At 43.7% G+C, this 22,485-nt stretch overlaps 1 long non-coding RNA gene across 1 annotated transcript; it reads right to left on the bottom strand.

Annotated features, from left to right (window-relative positions):
- Positions 1–1,822: 1,822 nt before the first annotated feature.
- Positions 1,823–14,143, bottom strand: LOC105375315 (uncharacterized). The gene is made up of 4 exons (XR_927571.2): positions 14,104–14,143; positions 12,290–12,354; positions 11,874–12,016; positions 1,823–1,903 (listed from the first exon to the last, which is right to left on the bottom strand). It is a non-coding gene; the product is annotated as an uncharacterized LOC105375315 (long non-coding RNA).
- Between the last annotated feature and the right edge of the window lie 8,342 nt (positions 14,144–22,485).

The raw sequence follows: 22,485 nt of genomic DNA, 5'->3' as shown, positions 1-22,485 counted from the left end.
AAACACAGAGATAGATGGTAAAAAAAAGAAATTAGGGAAGCATTGTGTATGTTTAATAAGAAGACGCTGGCCATGTTTGTGCAGCAGCAGTATGTCACAATACGATATACCTTGGAGAGCAGTTAACTGACGAGGAAGTTGATAAAAATGATCAGAGAAGCAAAATACTGATAGCGATAGTCAAGTAAACCACGAAGAATTTCCATAACTGATGTCAGCAAGGTGGGAATATTGTACAGTGTGTGTTGAAGTTCTTATACAACAGTTTATTTGCCTTTTGTTTTTTTGTAAGGAACATATATACTAAAAGTTCTCCTTGCTGTCAAAAGAATATGTGTGAGTAAGTTATTTGAACTTTTCTGTTTTTCTACTTTTCCTGCCATCATCCCACAGCCTTTAGACATTTTTTATTTTTTTAGAAAATTGAACAAGTGCTTGTTGTCGTGGCTCATACCTCTAGGATGGGAGGCAGGGGTAGAAGGGTCACCTGAGGCCAGGAGTTTGACAACAGCCTGGCCAATAAAGTGAGACCCCATGTCTACAAAACAATTTAAAAATTAGCCAGGTGTCATCATGTATACCTACAGTCCCAGCTACTCAGGAGGCTGAGGCAGGAGGATCCTTAGCCCAGGAGTTCAAAGCTGCAGCAAGCTGTGATGGCACCACTGTACTCCAGCCTGGGTGACAGGGTGAGACCCCATCTCCTAAAAGAAAAAAGAAAGAAAGAAAATAGATTAAGTAGCAAGTTGTATGTGGCTTACTTGGAATATTTCTAAACTAGAAGTTCTCAATCTTTCGGGGTCTAGCATCCTTTTACATTTTTTAACTTTATTGAAGATCTCTTAAGACTTTTTCTTTACATAAATATATTAAAATTAGAAAATGACTAAATTTTAAAAATATTATCACATATTAATAAAACCATTACATGTTGATATAATACAAGTTTTTAAAAATATTTAATATACATTACATATTAATAATAAAATCATTACATGTTAATACTTTTTTTTTTTTTTTTTGGAGATGGAGTCTCGCTCTTTCACCCAGGCTGGAGTGAAGTGGCGCGATCTCGGCTCACTGCAACCTCCGCCCCCAGGCTCAAGTGATTCTCCTGCCTCTGCCTCTCAAGTAGCTGGGCAGGTGCCCACCACCATGCCCAGCTAATTTTTGTGTTTTTTTTAGTAGAAACGGGGTTTCACCATGTTGGCCAGGCTGGTCTCGAACTCTTGACCTCAGGTGATCCATCCCCTTGGGTCTCCCAAAGTGCCGGGATTACAGGCATGAGCCACTGCACCCACCCCAATTAATACATTTTTAAAAACACTATGATTAGTCAGGCAACAACACTGGGCAGGGGTCTCCTCATTCCCAGAGACAAACCCCACTGCACAGCTCCGGGGTTGCAAGGGCTGCAGAGACAAAAGGCTCTAACTTGAGATTTCATTATTTTATTTGTATTTCTATTTGTACTGTGAGACAGGTCGTGCTCTGTCACCTAGACTGGAGTGCAGTTGTGTACTTAGAGCTCACTGCAGCCACAATCTCCTGGGCTCAAGCCATCTTTCTGTCTCAGCTCCCCAGTAGCTGGTACTACAGTTGAGTGCCACCATATCTGGCTATTTTTTAAATTTTTTGTAGAGTGAGGGGTCTTGCTATATTGCCCAAGCTGGCCTCAAACTCCTGACCTCAAGAGATCTGCCCACCTCAGCCTCCTGAGTAGCTGGGACTACAAGTATACATCACCATGCCTACCTACATTTATTTTATTAAATTTTGAAAAACATTTTTGTAGAGAGGAGGTCTTGCTATGTTGCCCACACTGGTCTTGAACTCCTGTCCTTAAAAGATACTCCCATCTCTGCTTCCCAAACAGCTGGGACTACAGGCATGAGCCACTGCACTGAAAATGAAGAGATTTCTTTAATCTAGCATCCCATACTTGGTAGGATTGAGAAAGGCAGTAGTGTTTTTTTAAAATTACTTAATAATTCAGTGAGAATCAAACTCAACCTTGACCCCTGCCTTCTCTCACACCCCACATCCAGTCTGTCAGGAAATCCTGTTGACTGTCTTCACCACGTACTGGACTCCCACCCAGCAACTCCCTGGCCTCCTCCCCTACTTCTCTCCTCTGACCATCTCTCACCACCACGACCCTGGTCAAGACCACTAATATCTCCTGCCTGGATGTTGCCACAGCTTGGCCCCCATGCTTCTACCCAAATCTTCCCACAGCCTTTCTAAAATGAGCAGCCAGAGAATGCTTTCAAATCAGGAGACAGATCATGTCGCCTCTCTGCTCAGAACCCTCCCACAGTTCCCATCTCAGTCAGAATAAAAGCCAAAGCCCAAGCCCCAGCAATAACCTCCCAGGGCTTATGTGATATGTACTGATCCCTTCCCCTAATTCCTTCTATCCTTCTGCTCCACTGGCCTCCTTCTAGAGCCTCAGACACACCTCAGACACTTTATCCTGTTTTTCTGCCTATAATCCTCTTCCCTCAGCACCTTGGCCAACTCCTTCCCCTCCTTCAAGTCTTTGCTCAATTTTCACTTAGGAGGACACCCCTGACCATTCTATTTAACATTGCCATCTGTCCCCATGCCCACCATGCTCATGTTTTTTCTTTTTCTGTTTCTTCTCTCTTTCGGTCTCTCTTTCACAAGATCTCACTCTGTCACCAAGGCTGGAGTGCAGCGGTGCAATCACAGCTCACTGTAACCTCAAATTCACAGGCTCAAGCAGTCCTCCCACTTCAGCCTCCCTAGTAGCTGGGACTACAGGTATATGCTATCATCCCTGGCTCATTTTTTTTTATTATTTATTTTATTTTACTTATTTTTTATATATATTTTATTTTATTATTATACTTTAAGTTTTAGGGTACATGTGCACAATGTGCAGGTTAGTTACATATGCATACATGTGCCATGCTGGTGTGCTACACCCATTAACTCGTCATTTAGCATTAGGTATATCTCCTAATGCTATCCCTCCACCCTCCCCCCACCCCACAACAGTCCCCAGAGTGTGATGTTCCCCTTCCTGTGTTCATGTGTTCTCATTGTTCAATTCCCACCTATGAGTGAGAATATGCAGTGTTTGGTTTTTTGTCCTTGCAATAGTTTACTGAGAATAATGATTTCCAATTTCATCCACGTCCCTACAAAGGACATGAACTCATCATTTTTTATGGCTGCATAGTATTCCATGGTGTATATGTGCCACATTTTCTTAATCCAATCTATCATTGTTGGACATTTGGGTTGGTTCCAAGTCTTTGCTATTGTGAATAGTGCCGCAATAAACATACGTGTGCATGTGTCTTTATAGCAGCATGATTTATAGTCCTTTGGGTATATACCCAGTAATGGGACAGCTGGGTCAAATGGTATTTCTAGTTCTAGATCCCTGAGGAATCGCCACACTGACTTCCACAATGGTTGAACTAGTTTACAGTCCCACCAACAGTGTAAAAGCGTTCCTATTTCTCCACATCCTCTCCAGCACCTGTTGTTTCCTGACTTTTTAATGATTGCCATTCTAACTGGTATGAGATGGTATCTCATTGTGGTTTTGATTTGCATTTCTCTGATGGCCAGTGATGGTGAGCATTTTTTCATGTGTTTTTTTGGCTGCATAAATGTCTTCTTTTGAGAAGTGTCTGTTCATGTCCTTTGCCCACTTTTTGATGGGGTTATTTTTTTCTTGTAAATTTGAGTTCATTGTAGATTCTGGATATTAGCCCTTTGTCAGATGAGTAGGTTACGAAAATTTTCTCCCATTTTCTAGGTTGCCTGTTCACTCTGATGGTAGTTTCTTTTGCTGTGCAGAAGCTCTTTAGTTTAATTAGATCCCATTTGTCAATTTTGGCTTTTGTTGCCATTGCTTTTGGTGTTTTAGACATGAAGTCCTTGCCCATGCCTATGTCCTGAATGGTAATGCCTAGGTTTTCTTCTAGGGTTTTTATGGTTTTAGGTCTAATGTTTAAGTCTTTAATCCATCTTGAATTAATTTGTGTATAAGGTGTAAGGAAGGGATCCAGTTTCAGCTTTCTACATATGGCTAGCCAGTTTTCCCAGCACCATTTATTAAATAGGGAATCCTTTCGCCATTGCTTGTTTTTCTCAGGTTTGTCAAAGATCAGATAGTTGTAGATATGTGGTGTTATTTCTGAGGGCTGTGTTCTGTTCCACTGATCTATCTCTCTGTTTTGGTATCAGTACCATGCTATTTTGGTTACTGTAGCCTTGTAGTATAGTTTGAAGTCAGGTAGTGTGATGCCTCCAGCTTTGTTCTTTTGGCTTAGGATTGACTTGGCAATGCGGGCTCTTTTTTGGTTCCATATGAACTTTAAAGTAGTTTTTTCCAATTCTGTGAAGAAAGTCACTGGTAGCTTGATGGGGATGGCATTGAATCTATAAATTACCTTGGGCAGTATGGCCATTTTCACGATATTGATTCTTTCTACCCATGAACATGGAACGTTCTTCCATTTCTTTGTATCCTCTTTTATTTCCTTGAGCAGTGGTTTGTAGTTCTCCTTGAAAGGTCCTTCACATTCCTTGTAAGTTGGATTCCTAGGTATTTTATTCTCTTTGAAGCAATTGTGAAAGGGAGTTCACTCATGATTTGGCTCTGTTTCTCTGTTATTGGTGTATAAGAATGCTTGTGATTTTTGTACATTGATTTTTTTTCCTGAGACTTTGCTGAAGTTGCTTATCAGCTTAAGGAGATTTTGGGCTGAGACAATGGGGTTTTCTAGATATACAATCATGTCGTCTGTAAACAGGGACAATTTGACTTCCTCTTTTCCTACTTGAATACCCTTTATTTCCTTCTCCTGCCTAATTGCCCTGGCCAGAACTTCCAACACTATGTTGAATAGGAGTGGTGAGAGAGGGCATCCCTGTCTTGTGCCAGTTTTCAAAGGGAATGCTTCCAGTTTTTGCCCATTCAGTATGGTATTGGCTGTGGGTTTGTCATAGATAGCTCTTACTATTTTGAGATACGTCCCATCAATACCTAATTTATTGAGAGTTTTTAGCATAAAGCGTTGTTGAATTTTGTCAAAGGCCTTTTCTGCATCTATTGAGATAATCATGTGGTTTTTGTCTTTGGTTCTGTTTATATGCTGGATTACATTTATTGATTTGTGTATAATGAACCAGCCTTGCATCCCAGGGATGAAGCCCACTTGATCATGGTGGATAAGCTTTTTGATATGTTGCTGGATTCAGTCTGCCAGTATTTTCTTGAGGATTTTTGCATCAATGTTCATCAAGGATATTGGTCTAAAATTCTCTTTTTTGGTTGTGTCTCTGCCCAGCTTTGGTATCAGGATGATGCTGGCCTCAGAAAATGAGTTAGGGAGGATTCCCTCTTTCTATTGATTGGAATAGTTTCAGAAGGAATGGTACCAGTTCCTCCTTGTACCTCTGGTAGAATTCGGCTGTGAATCCATCTGGTCCTGGACTTTTTGGTTGGTAAGCTATTGATTATTGCCATAATTTCAGATCCTGTTATTGGTCTATTCAGAGATTCAACTTCTTCCTGGTTTCGTCTTGGGAGGGTGTAAGTGTTGAGGAATTTATCCATTTCTTCTAGATTTTCTAGTTTATTTGCATAGAGGTGTTTGTGGTATTCTCTGATGGTAGTTTGTATTTCTGTGGGATTGGTGGTGATATCCCCTTTATCATTTTTTATTGCGTCTATTTGATTCTTCTCTCTTTTCTTCTTTATTAGTCTTGCTAGCAGTCTATCAATTTTGTTGATCCTTTCAAAAAACTACCTCCTGGATTCATTAATTTTTTGAAGGGTTTTTTGTGTCTCTATTTCCTTCAGTGCTGCTCTGATTTTAGTTATTTATTGCCTTCTGCTGGCTTTTGAATGTGTTTGCTCTTGCTTTTCTAGTTCTTTTAATTGTGATGTTAGGGTTTCAATTTTGGATCTTTCCTGCTTTCTCTTGTGGGCATTTAGTGCTATAAATTTCCCTCTGCACACTGCTTTGAATGTGTCCCAGAGATTCTGGTATGTTGTGCCTTTGTTCTCGTTGGTTTCAAAGAACATCTTTATTTCTGCCTTCATTTTGTTATGTACCCAGTAGTCATTCAGGAGCAGGTTGTTCAGTTTCCATGTAGTTGAGCTGTTTTGAGTGAGTTTCTTAATCCTGAGTTCTAGTTTGATTGCACTGTGGTCTGAGAGACAGTTTGTTATAATTTCTGTTCTTTTACATTTGCTGAGGAGAGCTTTACTTCCAACTATGTGGTCAATTTTGGAATAGATGTGGTGTGGTACTGAAAAAAATGTATATTCTGTTGATTTGGAGTGTAGAGTTCTGTAGATGTCTATTAGGTCCGCTTGGTGCAGAGCTGAGTTCAATTCCTGGGTATCCTTGTTAACTTTCTGTCTCGTTGATCTGTCTAATGTTGACAGTGGGGTGTTAAAATCTCCCATTATTGTTGTGTGGGAGTCTAAGTCTCTTTGTAGGTCTCTCAGGACTTGTTTTATGAATCTGGGTGCTCTTGTATCGGGTGCATATACATTTAGGATAGTTAGCTCTTCTCGTTGAATTGATCCCTTTACCATTATGTAATGGCCTTGTCTCTTTTGATCTTTGTTGGTTTAAAGTCTGTTTTATTAGAGACTAGGATTGCAACCCTGCCTTTTTTTTGTTTTCCATTTGCTTGGTAGATCTTCCTCCATCCTTTTATTTTGAGCCTATGTGTGTCTCTGCACGTGAAATGGGTTTCCTGAATACAGCTCACTGATGGGTCTTGATTATGCAATTTGCCAGTCTGTGTCTTTTAATTGGAGCATTTAGTCCATTTACATTTAAAGTTAATATTGTTATGTGTGAATTTGATCCTGTCATTATGATGTTAGCTGGTTATTTTGCTCGTTAGTTGATGCAGTTTCTTCCTAGCCTCGATGGTCTTTACAATTTGGCATGATTTTGCAGTGGCTGGTACTGGTTGTTCCTTTCCATGTTTAGTGCTTCCTTCAGGAGCTCTTTTAGGGCAGGCCTGGTGGTGACAAAATCTCTCAGCATTTGCTTGTCTGTAAAGGATTTTATTTCTCCTTCACTTATGAAGCTTAGTTTGGCTGGATATGAAATTCTGGGTTGAAAATTCTTTTCTTTAAAAATGTTGAATATTGGCCCCCACTCTCTTCTGGTTTGTAGAGTTTCTGCCGAGAGATCCACTGTTAGTCTGATGGGCTTCCCTTTGTGGGTAACCCGACCTTTCTCTCTAGCTGCCATTAACATTTTTTCCTTCATTTCAACTTTGGTGAATCTGACAATTATGTCTTGGAGTTGCTCTTCTCGAGGAGTATGTTTGTGGCGTTCTCTGTATTTCGTGAATCTGAATGTTGGCCTGCCTTGCTAGATTGGGGAAGTTCTCCTGGATAATATCCTGCAGAGTGTTTTCCAACTTGGTTCCATTCTCCCTGTCACTTTCAGGTACACCAATCAGACGTAGATTTGGTCTTTTCACATAGTCCCATATTTCTTGGAGGCTTTGTTCATTTCTTTTTATTCTTTTTTCTCTAAACTTCCCTTCTCGCTTCATTTCATTCATTTCATCTTCCATCACTGATACCCTTTCTTCCAGTTGATCGCGTCGGCTCCTAAGGCTTCTGCATTCTTCACGTAGTTCTCGAGCCTTGGCTTTCAGCTCCATCAGCTCCTTTAAGCACTTCTCTGTATTGGTTATTCTAGTTATACATTCTTCTAAACTTTTTTCAAAGTTTTTAACTTCTTTGCCTTTGGTTTGAATTTCCTCCTGTAGCTCAGAGTAGTTTGATCATCTGAAGCCTTCTTCTCTCAACTCGTCAAAGTCATTCTCCAACCAGCTTTGTTCCATTGCTGGTGAGGACCTGCGTTCCTTTGGAGGAGGCGACATGCTCTGCTTTTTAGAGTTTCCAGTTTTTCTGCTCTGTTTTTTCCCCATCTTTGTGGTTTTATCTACTTTTGATCTTTGATGATGGTGATGTACAGATGGGTTTTTGGTGTGGATGTCCTTTCTGTTTGTCAGTTTTCCTTCTAACAGACAGGACCCTCAGTTGCAGGTCTGTTGGAGGTTGCTAGAGGTCCACTCCAGACCCTGTTTGCCTGGGTATCAACAGCGGTGGCTGCAGAACAGCGGATTTTTGTGAACCGCGAATGCTGCTGTCTGATCGTTCCTCTGGAAGTTTCGTCTCAGAGAAGTACCCGGCTGTGTGAGGTGTCAGTCTGCCCCTACTGGGGGGTTCCTCCCAGTTAGGCTGCTCAGGGGTCAGGGGTCAGGGACCCACTTGAGGAGGCAGTCTGCCCGTTCTCAGATCTCCAGCTGCATGCTGGGAGAACCACTGCTCTCTTCAAAGCTGTCAGACAGGGACATTTAAGTCTGCAGAGGTTACTGCTGTCTTTTTGTTTGTCTGTGCCCTACCCCCAGAGGTGGAGCCTACAGAGGCAGGCAGGCCTCCTTGAGCTGTGGTGGGCTCCACCCACTTCCAGCTTCCCTGCTGCTTTGTTTACCTAAGCGAGCCTGGGCAATGGCGGGCGCCCCTCCCCCAGCCTCGCTGCCGCCTTGCAGTTTGATCTCAGACTGCTGTGCTAGCAGTCAGCGAGACTCTGTGGGCGTAGGACCCTCCAAGCCATGTGCGGGATATAATCTCCTGGTGCGCCGTTTTTTAAGCCCATCAGAAAAGCGCAGTATTAGGGTGGGAGTGACCTGATTTTCCAGGTGCCGTCCGTCACCCCTTTCTTTGACTAGGAAAGGGAACTCTCTGACCCCTTGTGCTTCCTGAGTGAGGCAATGCCTTGCCCTGCTTTGGCTCGCGCACGGTGCACTGCACCCACTGTCCTGCGCCCACTGTCTGGCATTCCCTAGTGAGATGAACCTGGTACCTCAGATGGAAATGCAGAAATCACCTGTCTTCTGCGTCGCTCATGCTGGGAGATGTAGACCGGAGCTGTTCGTATTCGGCCATCTTGGCTGCCAGACCTATTTTATTTTTTTTTAAATTTTGAGATGGAGTTTTACTCTTCTTGCCCAGGCTGGAGTGCAATGGTGCAATCCCAGCTTACTGCAACTTCCACCTCCTGGATTCAAGTGATTCTCCTGCCTCAGCCTCCCAAGTAGTGGGGATTACAGGTGCTTGCCACCATGCCTGGCTAATTTTTGTATTTCTAGTAGAGACAAGGTTTTGCAATGTTGGCCAGGCTGGTCTCGAACTCCTGACCTCAGGTGACTCACCCACCTCGGCCTCCCAAAGTGCTGAAATTTCAGGCATGAGCCACTGTGCCCAGCCAATTGTTTTATTTTTCATAGAGACAAGGTCTCACCATGTTGCCCAGGTTGGTCTTGAATTCCTGGCCTCATGTGATCCTCCTGTCTAAATTCCTGAAGTGCTGGGATTGCTGGCATTAGCCACCATGACTGGCTTCATGTTCTTCTTCCTGCTGCAACAGTTTGCAGTTTCTTACATTTAGTGGCTTAAAACACCACAAATCTACCATTTTACAGTTCTGGGGCCCAGAAGCCCAAAACAGGTCTATTAAGGCTAAAGTCAAGGTGTCAGCAGGGCTGCATTCCTTCTGGAGACTCTATAGTGTTCCTTTAGCTTTTCCCGCTTCTAGAAGCCACCGACATTCCTTGGATCATGGCCCTTGACTCCGTCTTCAAAGCTAGAAGTGAAGCATCTTCAAATCTCCCTCTCTGATCTCTGCTTCCATCACCACATCTCCTGCTCCAATTCTAACTGTCCTACCCTCTTTCTTTCATAAAGATCCTTGTGATTGCTGGGCATGGTGGCTCCCACCCATAATCCCAACACTGGGAGATCAAGGCAGGAGAAACACTTGAAGCCCAAAATTTGAAAGTAGCCTGAACAACATAGTGAGATCCCACCTCTAGAAAAAAATTAAAATAAACATTAGCCGGACATGGTGGTGTGCACCTGTAGTCCCAGCTACTTGAGAGGCTGAGGTGAGATGATCAGTTTAGCCCAGGAGTTTGAGATCGGCCTGGGTGACATAACTAAATCTCATCTCTACGAAAACGAGCTGGGTGTGGGTGACATGCATGTGTAGTCCCAGCTACTTGGGAGGCTGAGGAGGGAGAATGGCTTGATCTCAGGAGGTCAGAGCTATAGTGAGCTATGATCACATTACTGCATTCCAGTCTGGATGACACGGGGAGATTCTGTCTCAAAAAAAGAAAATAAATACATATTTAATCTCTGTCCCTGGTTCCTGGCACAGAGCTTCCAAAGCTCTTACAAAGACCTCAGTGATAGACATGATAGGAGCATCTTTTGTTTTCAATATTTAGTCTTGGTCCCAGGTTTCTAACACAAGACCCTCTAAGAACTTTGGGGGCAATCACATGATTAGAGGCTTGGAACTTTCAGCCTCATGCACTCAACTCCAGGAGAAAGAGGGGCTGAAGATTGACTTAATCACCAACGGCCAAAGATTTTACCAATCATGCTTGCATAATAAAGCCTCCATAAACACCCTGAATGGGGTTTGCAGAGCTTCTGGGGTTGCTGAACACAGGAGATGTTGGCAAGGTGGCATGTTCAACAGAGGACATGGGAGCTCTGTGCCCCTCCTAACTTACCTTGCCCTGGGCATCTTTCTTTTCTTTTGAGACAGGGTCTGGCTCTTTTGTCCAGGCTGGAGTGCAGTGGCACAATCTCAGCTCACAGCAACCTAAGCCTCCCCAGTCCCCAGCTCAAGGCATCCTCTCGGCTCACCTTCCCTAGTAGCTGGAATAATAGATGCACAACACTGCACCCGGTTATTTATTTTTATTTTTCTAATTTTTTGTAGAGATGGGTTTTCACCATGTTGCCCAGGCTGATCTCAAACTCCTGAGTTTAAGTAATCCTCCCACCTCAGCCTCCCAAAGTGCTGGAATTACAGACATGAGCCACCGCATCCGGAAAGTACGTCTCTTTCATTGGCTGTTTCTGAGATGTATCCTTTACAATGAACCAGTAATAGGAAATGAACTGGCCAGATACAGTGGCTCACATCTGTAATCCTAGCACTTTAAGAGGCTGAGGTGGGAGGATCACTTGAGCCCAGGAATTTGTGGCCAGCCTGGGCAACACAACAAGACCCCATCTCTACAAAAAAAAATAAAAGAAATTAGCCAGATGTGGTGGTGCAAGCATGTAGTCTCAGCTACTACGGAGGCTGAGGTGGGAGGACCACTGGAGACCAGGCAGTTGATGCTGCAATGAGCTATGACTGCACCATTGCGCACCAGCCTGTGCAACAAAATGAGAACCTGTTTCTCAGAAAAAAGAAAATAAACTGTTTTTCTGAGTTCTGTAAACCATTCTAGCAAATCATTAAACCCAAGAAGAGGGTCATTGGAAACCCTGATTTGTAACAGGTTGGACAAAAGTACAGGTGACAACCTAGGACTTGCCACTGGCATCTGAAGTGAGGATAGTCTCGTGGGACTAAGCCCCTAATCTGTGGAGTCTGTGCTAACTCCACGTAGTGTCAGAATAAAATTGTGGGATACCCAGTTAATATCCAGGACACTGGAAAACTTGGTATACAAACTCCACACACATGTTCAGTCAAAAGTGCATGAGCAGAGACAAACACAGGCTTTTCTTTGACCTGTCTACCTGCTTAACTGCATAGGAGAGGCAATATGTGGTGCTCATGAACAAAGCAAACATTAAAGTCAGACCAGACCCAACATTTGACTCAGTCTTAATATCCAGGTGAGCTTGGGCAAATCATTCGTTATCCCTAAGTCTTCATCACTTCATTCATAAAATGAGGATAACTGTGGCACCTACCTGTCATTTTGTGAGAATTAATGAGCTATTATGCTTGGTGTTATTGTGATCATCATACCTATTCCAAACTATTTGACAAGGACAGGGATGGATGATAACATCAAAAGATTAGAAACTGTAGTGAGGTCTCTCAGGCAAAATTCCATACAAGCAAATTACTGTCGCTACAAAGTATTCCTGCCACACTTAATTCACCACTTCCTGAAAAAAAAAATGTGCCATCTTCATTGTTCAGGTCATTACAGTGCTGGTTTCCCTGTCTGGGCAGCTCACTCCATCCCACCCCAGCCCATTCCCCTCCACCTCCCCCTTCCCACCCCATTCTCATACAACTCTTCCTCATCTTTCAGGACTTGGCTTCAAAAGTCACCTTAACTGGAACCTTCTCTCACCCTCCAGAAGAGCTTCCCATTGCACTTGATGCATGAACTATTATTTGATCATTTTTGAGTTATATTCCAAGTCTTTTTGTACCTGAATAACATGTTGCCCAGTCAGTCTCTCTTCCTGGACTCTGAAGTCTTTCATGGTAGATCCAGCTGGAAGTGACAAAAAGACATTCTTTTGAAATAGAACGGTGACACAGACAGACATAAGTTCTTAAATGTTTTAAATGGTATGTGAAACTAACTAAATTCATAGCCTTTTGGGGAACACTTAGGAGGGAAACTTACTGGGAATGTCATAAAGGATTAATTTGTATTTTATTTTATTTTATTTTTTGAGACAGAATCTCATTCTGTCACCTAGGTTGGAGTGCAGTGCTGCAATCAGGGCTCACTGCAGCCTTGACCACCTGGGCTCAGGTAATCTCATTTAATTTTTATTTGGTTTAAAAAACTCAGTCTTGGTTGAGCGTGGTGGCTTCTGCCTGTAATCTCAACACTTTGGGAGGCTGAGAGAGGTATATTACTCGAGGCCAGCAGTTTGATATCAGCCTGGAAAACATATTAAGGCCCTGTCTCTACCAAAAAATAACAGAGTGAATGTGTGGAAGACAATTTTTCCAAAGACCTGGGGTGAAGGAAATGATTTCAGGATGATTCAAGTGCATTACGTATATTGCGCACTTTATTTCTATTATTATTACATTGTAATATATAATGAAATAATTCTACAACTCACTAAAATGTAGAATCAGTGGGATCGCTGAGCTTGTTTTCCTGCAACTAGACTGTCCATCTGGGGTGATGGGAGACAGTCACCCCAGGCATTAGATCATCAGGCATTAGATTCTCATAAGGAGCACGAAACCTAGATCCCTCACATGCACATAACAGGGTTTGTGCTCCTAGGAGAATCTAATGCTGCTGCTGATGTGACAGGACATCATGCTTAGGTGGTCATGCAAGTGATGGGAGGGCTAGAAATACAGATGAAGTTTTCCCTCACTCGCCTACTGTTCACCTCCGGCTCTGTGGCCCTGTGGTTGGAGACCCCTGCTAAAGTGCATCTGAAAGGATCCATCCCATGCCCTTCTTCAGAGTCATATTTACTGCCACAGTGTTCAAGTGTAGCACTCCTAAGCTCGCAGGGCCTATGGCTCAGCTGGCATTTCATCACAATCAACAGTAAGTGGTAGCTTGAGTCATTGTGAGGTCACTTCCTGGAAATGACCAGCATCCCATGTCCCATTGGAAAGCAGCTGAGCACTGCTCCTTGGATAACCAAACCTATGCCCAAATCCCATCTGTGTGCGTCTATCTCCTGGAATCCTTCCTATCATCAATTCTGTATTTGTAGGAGTCCAATCAGGAGACACAAACCACTCAAAAGTTTAAACTAGAATGAGCAAAGTGGCTCACACCTATAATCCCAGCATTTTGGGAGGCCAAGGCGGGTGGATCGCTTTGAGCACAGGAGTTTGAGACCAGCCTGGGAAACATGGTGAAACCCCATCTCTACAAAAAACACAAAAACTAGCCAGGTGTGGTGGCATGTATCTGTAATCCCACCTACTCAGGAGGCTGAGGCAGGAGAACTGCTTAAGCCTGGCAGGTGGAGGTTGCAGTGAGCAGAGATTGTGCCACTGCACTCCAGCCTGGGTGATAGCATGAGACCCGGTATTAAAAAAAAAAAAAAAAAAGAAGAAAAACAATATATGTAAATTTAATATAAGAAGTATTAATTTTGGCCAGGTGCAGTGGCTCACGTCTGTAATCCCAGCAGTTTGGGAGGTAGAGGCAGGTGGATCACCTGAGGTCAGGAGTTTGAGACCAGCCTGACCAACATGGAGAAAACCCGTTTCTACTAAAAATATAAAATTAGCCAGGTGTGATGGCACATACCTGTAAATCCCAGCTACTTGGGAGGCTGAGGCAGGAAAATCACTTGAACCTGGCAGGCGGATGTTGCGGTGAGCCAAGATCGTGCCATTGCACTTCAGCCTGGGCAATAAGAGCTACACTCCATCTCAAAACAAAAAATATTAATTTTAACAGAGGATCAGCATAATGAGGGACACACTAGCACAAATTAAAGACAACTCTACAGAATACAGAACTAGCAGAAGCCAGGCATGGTGACTCAAGCCTGTAATCCCAGCAATTTGGGAAGCCTAGGCAGGAGGATCACTTGAGGCCAGGAGTTGGAGACCAGTCTGACAAACATAATGAGACCCTGTGTCTACCAAGAAAAGAGAAAAATTAGCCAGGTGTGGTAGTGGTACACACCTGTAGTTCCAGCTACTTGGGAGTCTAGGGTGGGAGGGTCCCTTGAGCCTGGGAAGTCTAGGCTACAGTGAGCCAAGATCCTGCCACTGCACTCCAGCCTGGACGACAGAGACCCTGTCTTAGAAAGAAAATGAAAAGAAAAGAAAGTGCTAATCCCCCTATGGGAATCTCCTCTTCTCCAGCCCTCTCTGGAACCTCACTTGTCAGTTCTTCCTCCCACTTCCCTGTATCTTTAACCTATCCCCCTCTTTTAGCTCCTTCCCACCATCATCTAAATTACTCAAACTTCTTCTATTTTAAAAACCTCTCCCTAAACTCAGTGTGTCCCCTGCTTTAGGTCTCCTGCACACCCACTGAGCCATCTGCTCCCCGTGGTGCCTTCTCCACACAGCAGCCTGAGCCATGTCTCTAATCCATTAATCTCATCACTTTACTCCCCCATTTACATCACTTCTCCTTGTCTCGGGGATTAAGTCCAAACTCCTTAAAAGCCCCTGCTCTGCCCTGCCTTGCAAAGCAGCCTCACTGCTTGCCCCTCTCCATTTTACCTGCTGTGGAGTCCAACTGAGTCTCATCTGCCCCCTGAATCAGGAATTAGATTCTCATAAGGAGCTGAATCCTGAATCCACACTCTTTCCCCTCTGGGAGTCTCTGAAGTAGGTGATGCCCTCTGCTTAAAGAGTACACTTCCCCTTAAACCTCTACTCTCTTCCTGGCTAGCTTTGGCTCCTGTCACTTGTCCGCTTTGGCATCACCTCCTCCTGGAAGCCTTCCTTGACTCTCCAGATTCTCAGGAGCATGGGAGGTGAAATGCTCCTCCCATGAATGGTTGGAGATTAGCGAGTATGTATTATTCATGCTTAATTCACCAGGGCTTAGCTGAGTACCTGGCACAAAAAAGTTACTGTGGTGGCCAAAGTAATGACCCCCCCGACCCCACCAATTGCTCATGTCCTATGTTACACTGCACAAATACATAGGAAGGGGGAATTAAGAGTGCAGATGAAATTAATGTTGCTAATCAGCTGACCTTAAAATAATATTATCCTGGAGTATCTAGAAGAGCCCATGTAATTACAAGTGTTCTTTAAATGTGGAAGAGGGAGGCAGAAAGTTAAGAACCAGAGATGGTGGGCACAATGGCTTATCCCTGTAATACCAATACTTTGGGAGGCCAAGCCAGGAAATTCCCTTGCGTGCAGAAGTTCAAGGCCAGCCCTGGCAACATAGTGAGAGGCCCCATCTCTACTAAAAAAAGAATAATAATAATCACTGTGTGCCATGGTGCTTACCTGTAGTCCCAGCTACTGGGAAGGTTGAAGTGGTAGGATCGCTTGAGCCTGGGAGTTTGAGGCTACAATGAGCCGTGATAGGACCACTGAACTCCAGCCTGAGTGACACAGCAAGGTCCTGTTTCTAAAGAAAAAAAAGGACATTGGAATCAGGGTCCCCTCCATCCTAAGGTGCCTACAATGCATCTCTCTCTGCAAACAAGTAAATATCATCCTCCAACTCCTCACAGAGTGGAGCAGCAGAAAAACTCCCTCACCTCATTTCTGTGCAGTTTGGGAGGCCTGGACAGCCCAATAACCAGCTCCTTGCTGATGAAGCAATCGGGAAATGGCTCGAGTTGAGCTAAGGAGAATTTGGATCCTTCTTTTGGTTCTCAATAGGCAGGATAGGGGTCAGGCATGGTGGCTCATACGTGTAATCCTTGCACTTTGGGAGGCCAAGGTGAGAGGATCGCTTGAGGCCAAGAGCTCAAGATCAGTCTGGGCAACATAGCGAGACCCAGGTGGCATGCACCTGTGGTCCCCACTACTTGGTAGGATGAGGTGGGAGGACTGATCACTGGATCCCAGCAGTTTCAGACTGCAGTGAGCCATGATCACACCACTGCACTCCAGCCTGTGTGACAGAAACAGACAGTTTCTCAAAAAGTAAAAAAAAAAAAAAAAAAAAAAAGAGAGAGACTATAAGGCAGGCACCACCACACCACCACATCTGGCTAATTTTTAAATATTCTGCAGAGATGAGGTCTTGCTAGGTTGCCAAGGCTGGTCTAAAACTCCTGGAATCAGGCTGGGCATGAGGGCTCATGCCTGTAATCCCAGCACTTTGGGAGGCCAAGGCAGGCAGATCACCTGAGGTCAGGAGTTAGAAACCAGCCTGACCAACATGGTGAAACTCCATCTGTACTAAAAGTACAAAAATTAGCTGGGCAGTAGTGGCATGTGCCTGTAATCTCAGCTACTTAGGAGGCTGAGGCAGAAGAATCACTTGAACCTGGGAGGTGGAGGCTGCAGTGAGCCGAGGTCGCACCACCGCACTCCACCCTGGGCGACAGTGAGACTCTGTCTCAAAAAAAGAAAAATACAAACAAACAAACAAAAAAAACAAAAACAAAAACAAAACCCCGGCATCAAGAGATCTTCCTATCTCACCCTCCCAATGCCCTGGGATTATAATTTTTGTTTAGAATAATTGAAGATACTTGTTCTTACACTGCTTTAAGGTATAAAGAAAAAAAAAGATAATAACAAATGTTGGTGAAGGCCGGGCACAGTGGCTCAGCCTGTAATTCCAGAACTTTGGGAGGCTGAGGTGGGCAGATCACTTGAGGCCAGGAGTACGAGACCAGCCTAATCAACATAGTCAAACCCCATTACTACAAAAAAATATAAAAATTAGCCAGGCATGGTGGCATGCACCTATAATTCCCAGCTACTCAGGAGGCTGACATGAGGGAATCACTTGTGCCTGGGAGGTCAAGGCTATAGTGAACTGTGATGGCATTACTGTGCTGCAGCCTGAGAGACAGAGCAAGCCCCTGTCTAGAAAAAAAAAATGTCAGTGAAGATGTGGAGGAATTGGAACCCCACATACATTACTGGTGGGAACATAAAATCATGTAACCACTTTGCTTGGGTATTTCTTTTCTTGTCATTTTAACTGGATTTTTAAAAAAATCAAGACAGGGTCTCACTATCTTGCCCAGGCTTGTCTTGAACTCATGGGCTCAAGCCATCCTCACAACTGAGCCTCCTGAGTAGCTAGGATTACAGCTGTGAGCCATTGCACCCAGTTGGTGTAGCCACTTTAGAAAACAGTCTGGCAGTGTCTCAAAATGCTAAATGTACAGTCGTCGTATAATGCAACAATTTCACTCCTAGGCATATATCCCAGAGAAATAAAAATATATGTCCACACAAAAACTTGTACAGCAATCTTCATAGCACCATTATTCATAATGGCCAATACATGGAAAAAACCCAAATGTCCACCAACTGATGAACAGATAAACAAAATGCAGTGTGTCTCTACCACAGAATATTATTCAGCCATAGAAGCAATGAAATATTGATACACACTATGACATAAAGGAACTTTGAAAACATTGTGCTGAGAGGGAAAAAAAGCCACAAAAGACCACATATTATACAATTCTATTTGTCCAGGTTAGGCAAATCTATAGTGACAAAAAAATGGATCAATGGTTGCCTAAGGCTGGTGGCCAAGGCAGGTGGGGGGAGTAGGAGGTAGTGGCTAAGGGGTGCGGATTTCTCTATAGAGTAATGAAAGTTTCTAAAAGTGACTGTGGTGATCGATGTACAGCTCTGGGAATACTCTAAAACCTACTGAATTGCAGATTTCAATAAATAAAGTGAATGGTATGTGAATTATATTTTAATAAAGCTATTATTTTAAATAATAATAATAAGGGGCTGGGCACAGGTAGTCATGCCTGCCTGTAATCCCAGCTCTTTGGGAGGCTGAGGCAGGAGGATCACTTGAGGTCAGAAGTTTGAGCCCAGTCTGAGCAACCTAGCAAGATCCCGTCTCTATGATAAAAAAATAAAAAAATTAGCTGGGCATGGTGGCACATGTCTGTAGTCCCAGCTACCTGGGAGACTGACATGGGAGGATTGCTTGAGCCCAGGAGTTTGAAGCTACAGTGACCCATGATCATGTCACTGTACTGCAGCCTGGGTAACAGAGCAAAACTCTGTCTCTAAAAAGGAAAGAAAAGAAATGCAAGTTTTTACCACTTTGTGAGTGTAGCCAAGTTGGTGGAGAAATAGACAAGAATAAAAGGGCACTGAATAATGAAGGTGAGTGGCTGGTTAGGCTCAGTTGCTAGCTTATCAGCTTCTAAAAAATTCATTAGTAAAGTTACAGCTCTGGGGATAGCCATGCAGTCAAAGAATGAATGCTAAATTCATTACAAATGCTCATGGTCTTTCTTTACATGCCTCCTAGTGAAAAATTCCTAAGTGTCTGAATAGCAAGTCTGCAATGATAGCAGCTGTTTACTAAAGACTACAAAAAAGAAATGGAGGCCGGGCATGGTGGCTCATGCCTGTAATCCCTACACTTTGGGAGGCCTAGGCAGGCAGTTCACCTGAGGTCAAGAGTTCGAGACCAGCCTGGCCAACATGGTGAAACCGTGTCTCTACTAAAAATACAAAAATTAGCTGGGTGTGGTAACACGTGGCTGTAATCCCAGCTACTTGGGAGCCTGAGGCAGGAGAAGTGGTTGAGCCCAGCAGGGGGAGGTTGCGGTGAGCCAAAATCATGCCATTGCACTCCAGCCTGGGTGACAAAAGCAAGACTCTGTCAAAAAAAAAAAAAAAAAAAAATGGCATCTTCTTCAAGAATGACATAGTTTCATGATAAAAAAGTTCTAATTTTGTGTTTTGATTTGATTTAGCCAATATGACACCAATCTTGGATAAAGTGCAAACAATGCAATTTCATTTTCTCATTAATCAAAACTGACTTGGTGGTCTAATATCAATTCTGATCTTTTAAAAAACTGATCAGATAAAAAAATTATGGAATGATGGAGCCAATAAGGTGTTACAATTTCTTTCAAGGAGAATTTCAAAACCCACACATATCTGAGATGATCAAGTATGAGGAAACGTATTTGATTACTATATTTAAAAATAAACTGATTATATAGCCAACAACAACTGGAAAGAGGTCTCCTCATCCACAGCCACAAAAACCCGATCACATGGCTATGCGGTTGTAAGGACTGCATAGCCTAGAAGGGACTGGTCTGACTTCAGATTTCATTTCATTTGTATTTGTATTTTGAGACAGGGTCCCAGTCTGTCACCCAGGCTGGAGTGCAGTGGTATAATCATAGCTCACGACAGCCTTCACCAACTGGGCTCCAGAGATGCTCCTGCCTCAGCTGCCCCAGTACCTGGGAATACAGGCAAGTAACACCATGTCACACTATTTTTTTCATTTTTGTAAAGAGAGAAGTCTTGCTATATTGCCCAAGCTGGCCTCAAACTCCTAGCTTCAAGAGATCTGCCTACCTCGGCCTCCTGAGTAACTGAGGCTATAGGTGCACACCACCATGCCCAGCTATATTTATTTTATTTTATTAAATTTCTTTTATTTTTGTAGAGAGGAGGTCTTGCTATGTTGCCCAGGCTGCTCTCAAACTCACGGCCTTAAAACGTACTCCCATCTCTGCCTCTCAAGCTGTTGGAACTATAGGTGTGAGACACTGCATCTGGCCTGACTTGAGACTTCTTTAATCTTGCATCCTTTACTTAGTAGGACTGAGAAAGGTAGTAGTGTTTTTTTTAATTAATAATTCAATTAGAATCAAACTCAAGCTTGACTCCCACCTTCTCTCGCAGTTCACATCCAGTCTGTCAGGAAATCCTATTGACTGACTTCAACATGTATCCGGGCTCTGACCATCTCTCACCACCACCATGACCCTGGTCAGGACCACTATCATCTCCCACCTGGATGTTGCCACAGCTTGGCCCCTGTGCTTCTACCCAAATCTTCCCACAGTCTTTCTCAACTCAGCAGCCAGGGGGTGCTTTTAAATCAGGAGACAGATCATGTTGCCTCTCTGCTCAGAACCACCCCACAGTTCCCATTTTAGTCAGAGTAAAAGCCAAAGCCCCAGCAATGGCCTCCCAGGGCTTACACGATCTGTACTGATCCCAGCCCAGCAACTCCCTGGCTCCTCCCCTACTTCTCTCCCTCTATCTGTTTGCTCCACTGGCCTCCTTCCAGAGCCTCAGACACACCAGGGAGTTTCCTCCCAATGCCTTTATCCTGTTGATTCAGCCTACAGTGCTCTTCCCTCAGCACCTTGGCCAGCTCCATCACCTGCTTCAAACTTTTGCTCAATTTTCACTTATGAGGCCAACCCTGACCACTCTACTTAACATTGCCATCTGTCCCCATTTCCATCATGCTCATTTCTTTCTTTCTTTTTGAAACAGGGTCTTTCTCTATTGCCCAGGATAAAGTACAGTGGTGCAGTCACAGCTCACAGCAACCTCAACCTCTCAGGCTTAAACAATCCTCCTGCCTTGGCCTCCCTAGGAGCTGACACGCCTGGCTAATTTTTTTCAACTTTTTTTTTTTTTTTTTTTTTGAGACAGAGTCTCGCTGTCACCCAGGCTGGAGTACAGTGATGTGATCTCGGTTCACTGAAACTTCCACCTCCTGGGTTCAAATGATTCTCCTGCCTCAGCCTCCCGAGTAGCTGGGACTACATACAGGTGCCCGCTACCATGCCCAGCTAATTTTTGTTTTTTTAGTAGAGACGGAGTTTCACTACGTTGTTCAGGTTGGTCTTGAACCCCTGAACTCAAGTGATCCACCGCCTTGGCCTCCCAAAGTTATGGGATTACAGGCTGAGACACTGCATCTGGCCCCAACCACATTTTTTGAGGCTTGGAACTTTCAGCCTCACTCGCTGAACTCCAGGAGGCAAAAGGGTCTGGAGATTTAATGACCAATGGCCAATGATTTTATCATGCCTCCATGAAAACCCTAAACAATACGGTTTGGAGAGCTTCTGTTTTGCTGAACACAAGGAGGTGCTGGAAGGGTAGTGTGCCCAACAGAGGGCATGGAAGTGCCCCTTTTCCCACTTACCTTACCCTGTGCATCTCTTTCATTGGCTGTTCCTGAGATGCAGCCTTTACATTGAGCCAGTAATAGAAAATAAACTGGCCAGATGTGGTCGCTCATGCCAATAATCCCAGCACTTTCCCAGATCTTTTTACCTTGGCCTCCAAGGTGGCTGGGACAACAGGCATGCATTAGTGTACCATCATACCTGGCTATTTTTTTTATTTTTAGTAGAAACAAGGTCTCACCATGTTCCCCAGGCTTGTTTCAAACTTCTGGGCTCAAGCAATCCTTTTGCCTCAGCATCTCAAAGTGCTGGGGTTACAGGTGTGGGCCATGGCCCAGCCTGGAACCATGCTACTTGTACAGTCTGCAGAACTGTGAGCCAAATAAACCTTTTTTCTTTATAAACTACCTAGCCTCAGGTGTTTCCTTATAGCAATGGAAAATGGACTAATATAGGAGGAATCGTATGTCAACACTTACCAGACTGTGATGAGCACAATGACAGGAGTATAGAGAGGGACTGAAACGCTCCCAAGGGGCTTCTCGTTGCATCATAGAGAGTGAGGTGAGACATCTCAGCTGAGGCTAAAGATGAGCAAAGATGAGAGTGAAAGAGTGATGATGGGGGTAGGGAGAGGGTTTCCTCAAGGACCAGTAAAGTCCCGGAAGGAAACTGACATTCCATGTGGCTGGAGGGTAGGTGAATTCAACTGTCATTGCAATTCAGCAACCCGCACATTTAAGTTTGTGTTTGATTTTCAATATCAGCCCTGTGGATACAAAAAATAAGGAATTGTGTTTGGGCTATCATGGAAGCTCTCTGGATCTTAGACCGCAACTTATGCTGAGAGGTAAAGACTTGAACTTTTTGTTTTTCTCTCTGTAAGTGCTCAAGTGCAGCGGTCCCCAATTTTTTTGGCACCAGGGACTGGTTTTGTGGAAGACAATTTTTCCACAGACTGGGGGCAGCAGGTCAGTTTTGGAATATTTCAAGTAAATTACATTTATTGTGTACGTTATTTCTATTATTATTATATTGTAGTATGTAATGAAATAATTATGTAACTCACCATAATGTAGAATCAGTGG

Source organism: Homo sapiens, chromosome 7 (assembly GCF_000001405.40).
Source record: "Homo sapiens chromosome 7, GRCh38.p14 Primary Assembly".
NCBI lineage: Eukaryota > Metazoa > Chordata > Mammalia > Primates > Hominidae > Homo > Homo sapiens.
The sequence above is the reverse complement of the archived record's forward strand: the minus strand, read 5'-3'. Positions and strand labels throughout refer to the sequence as shown.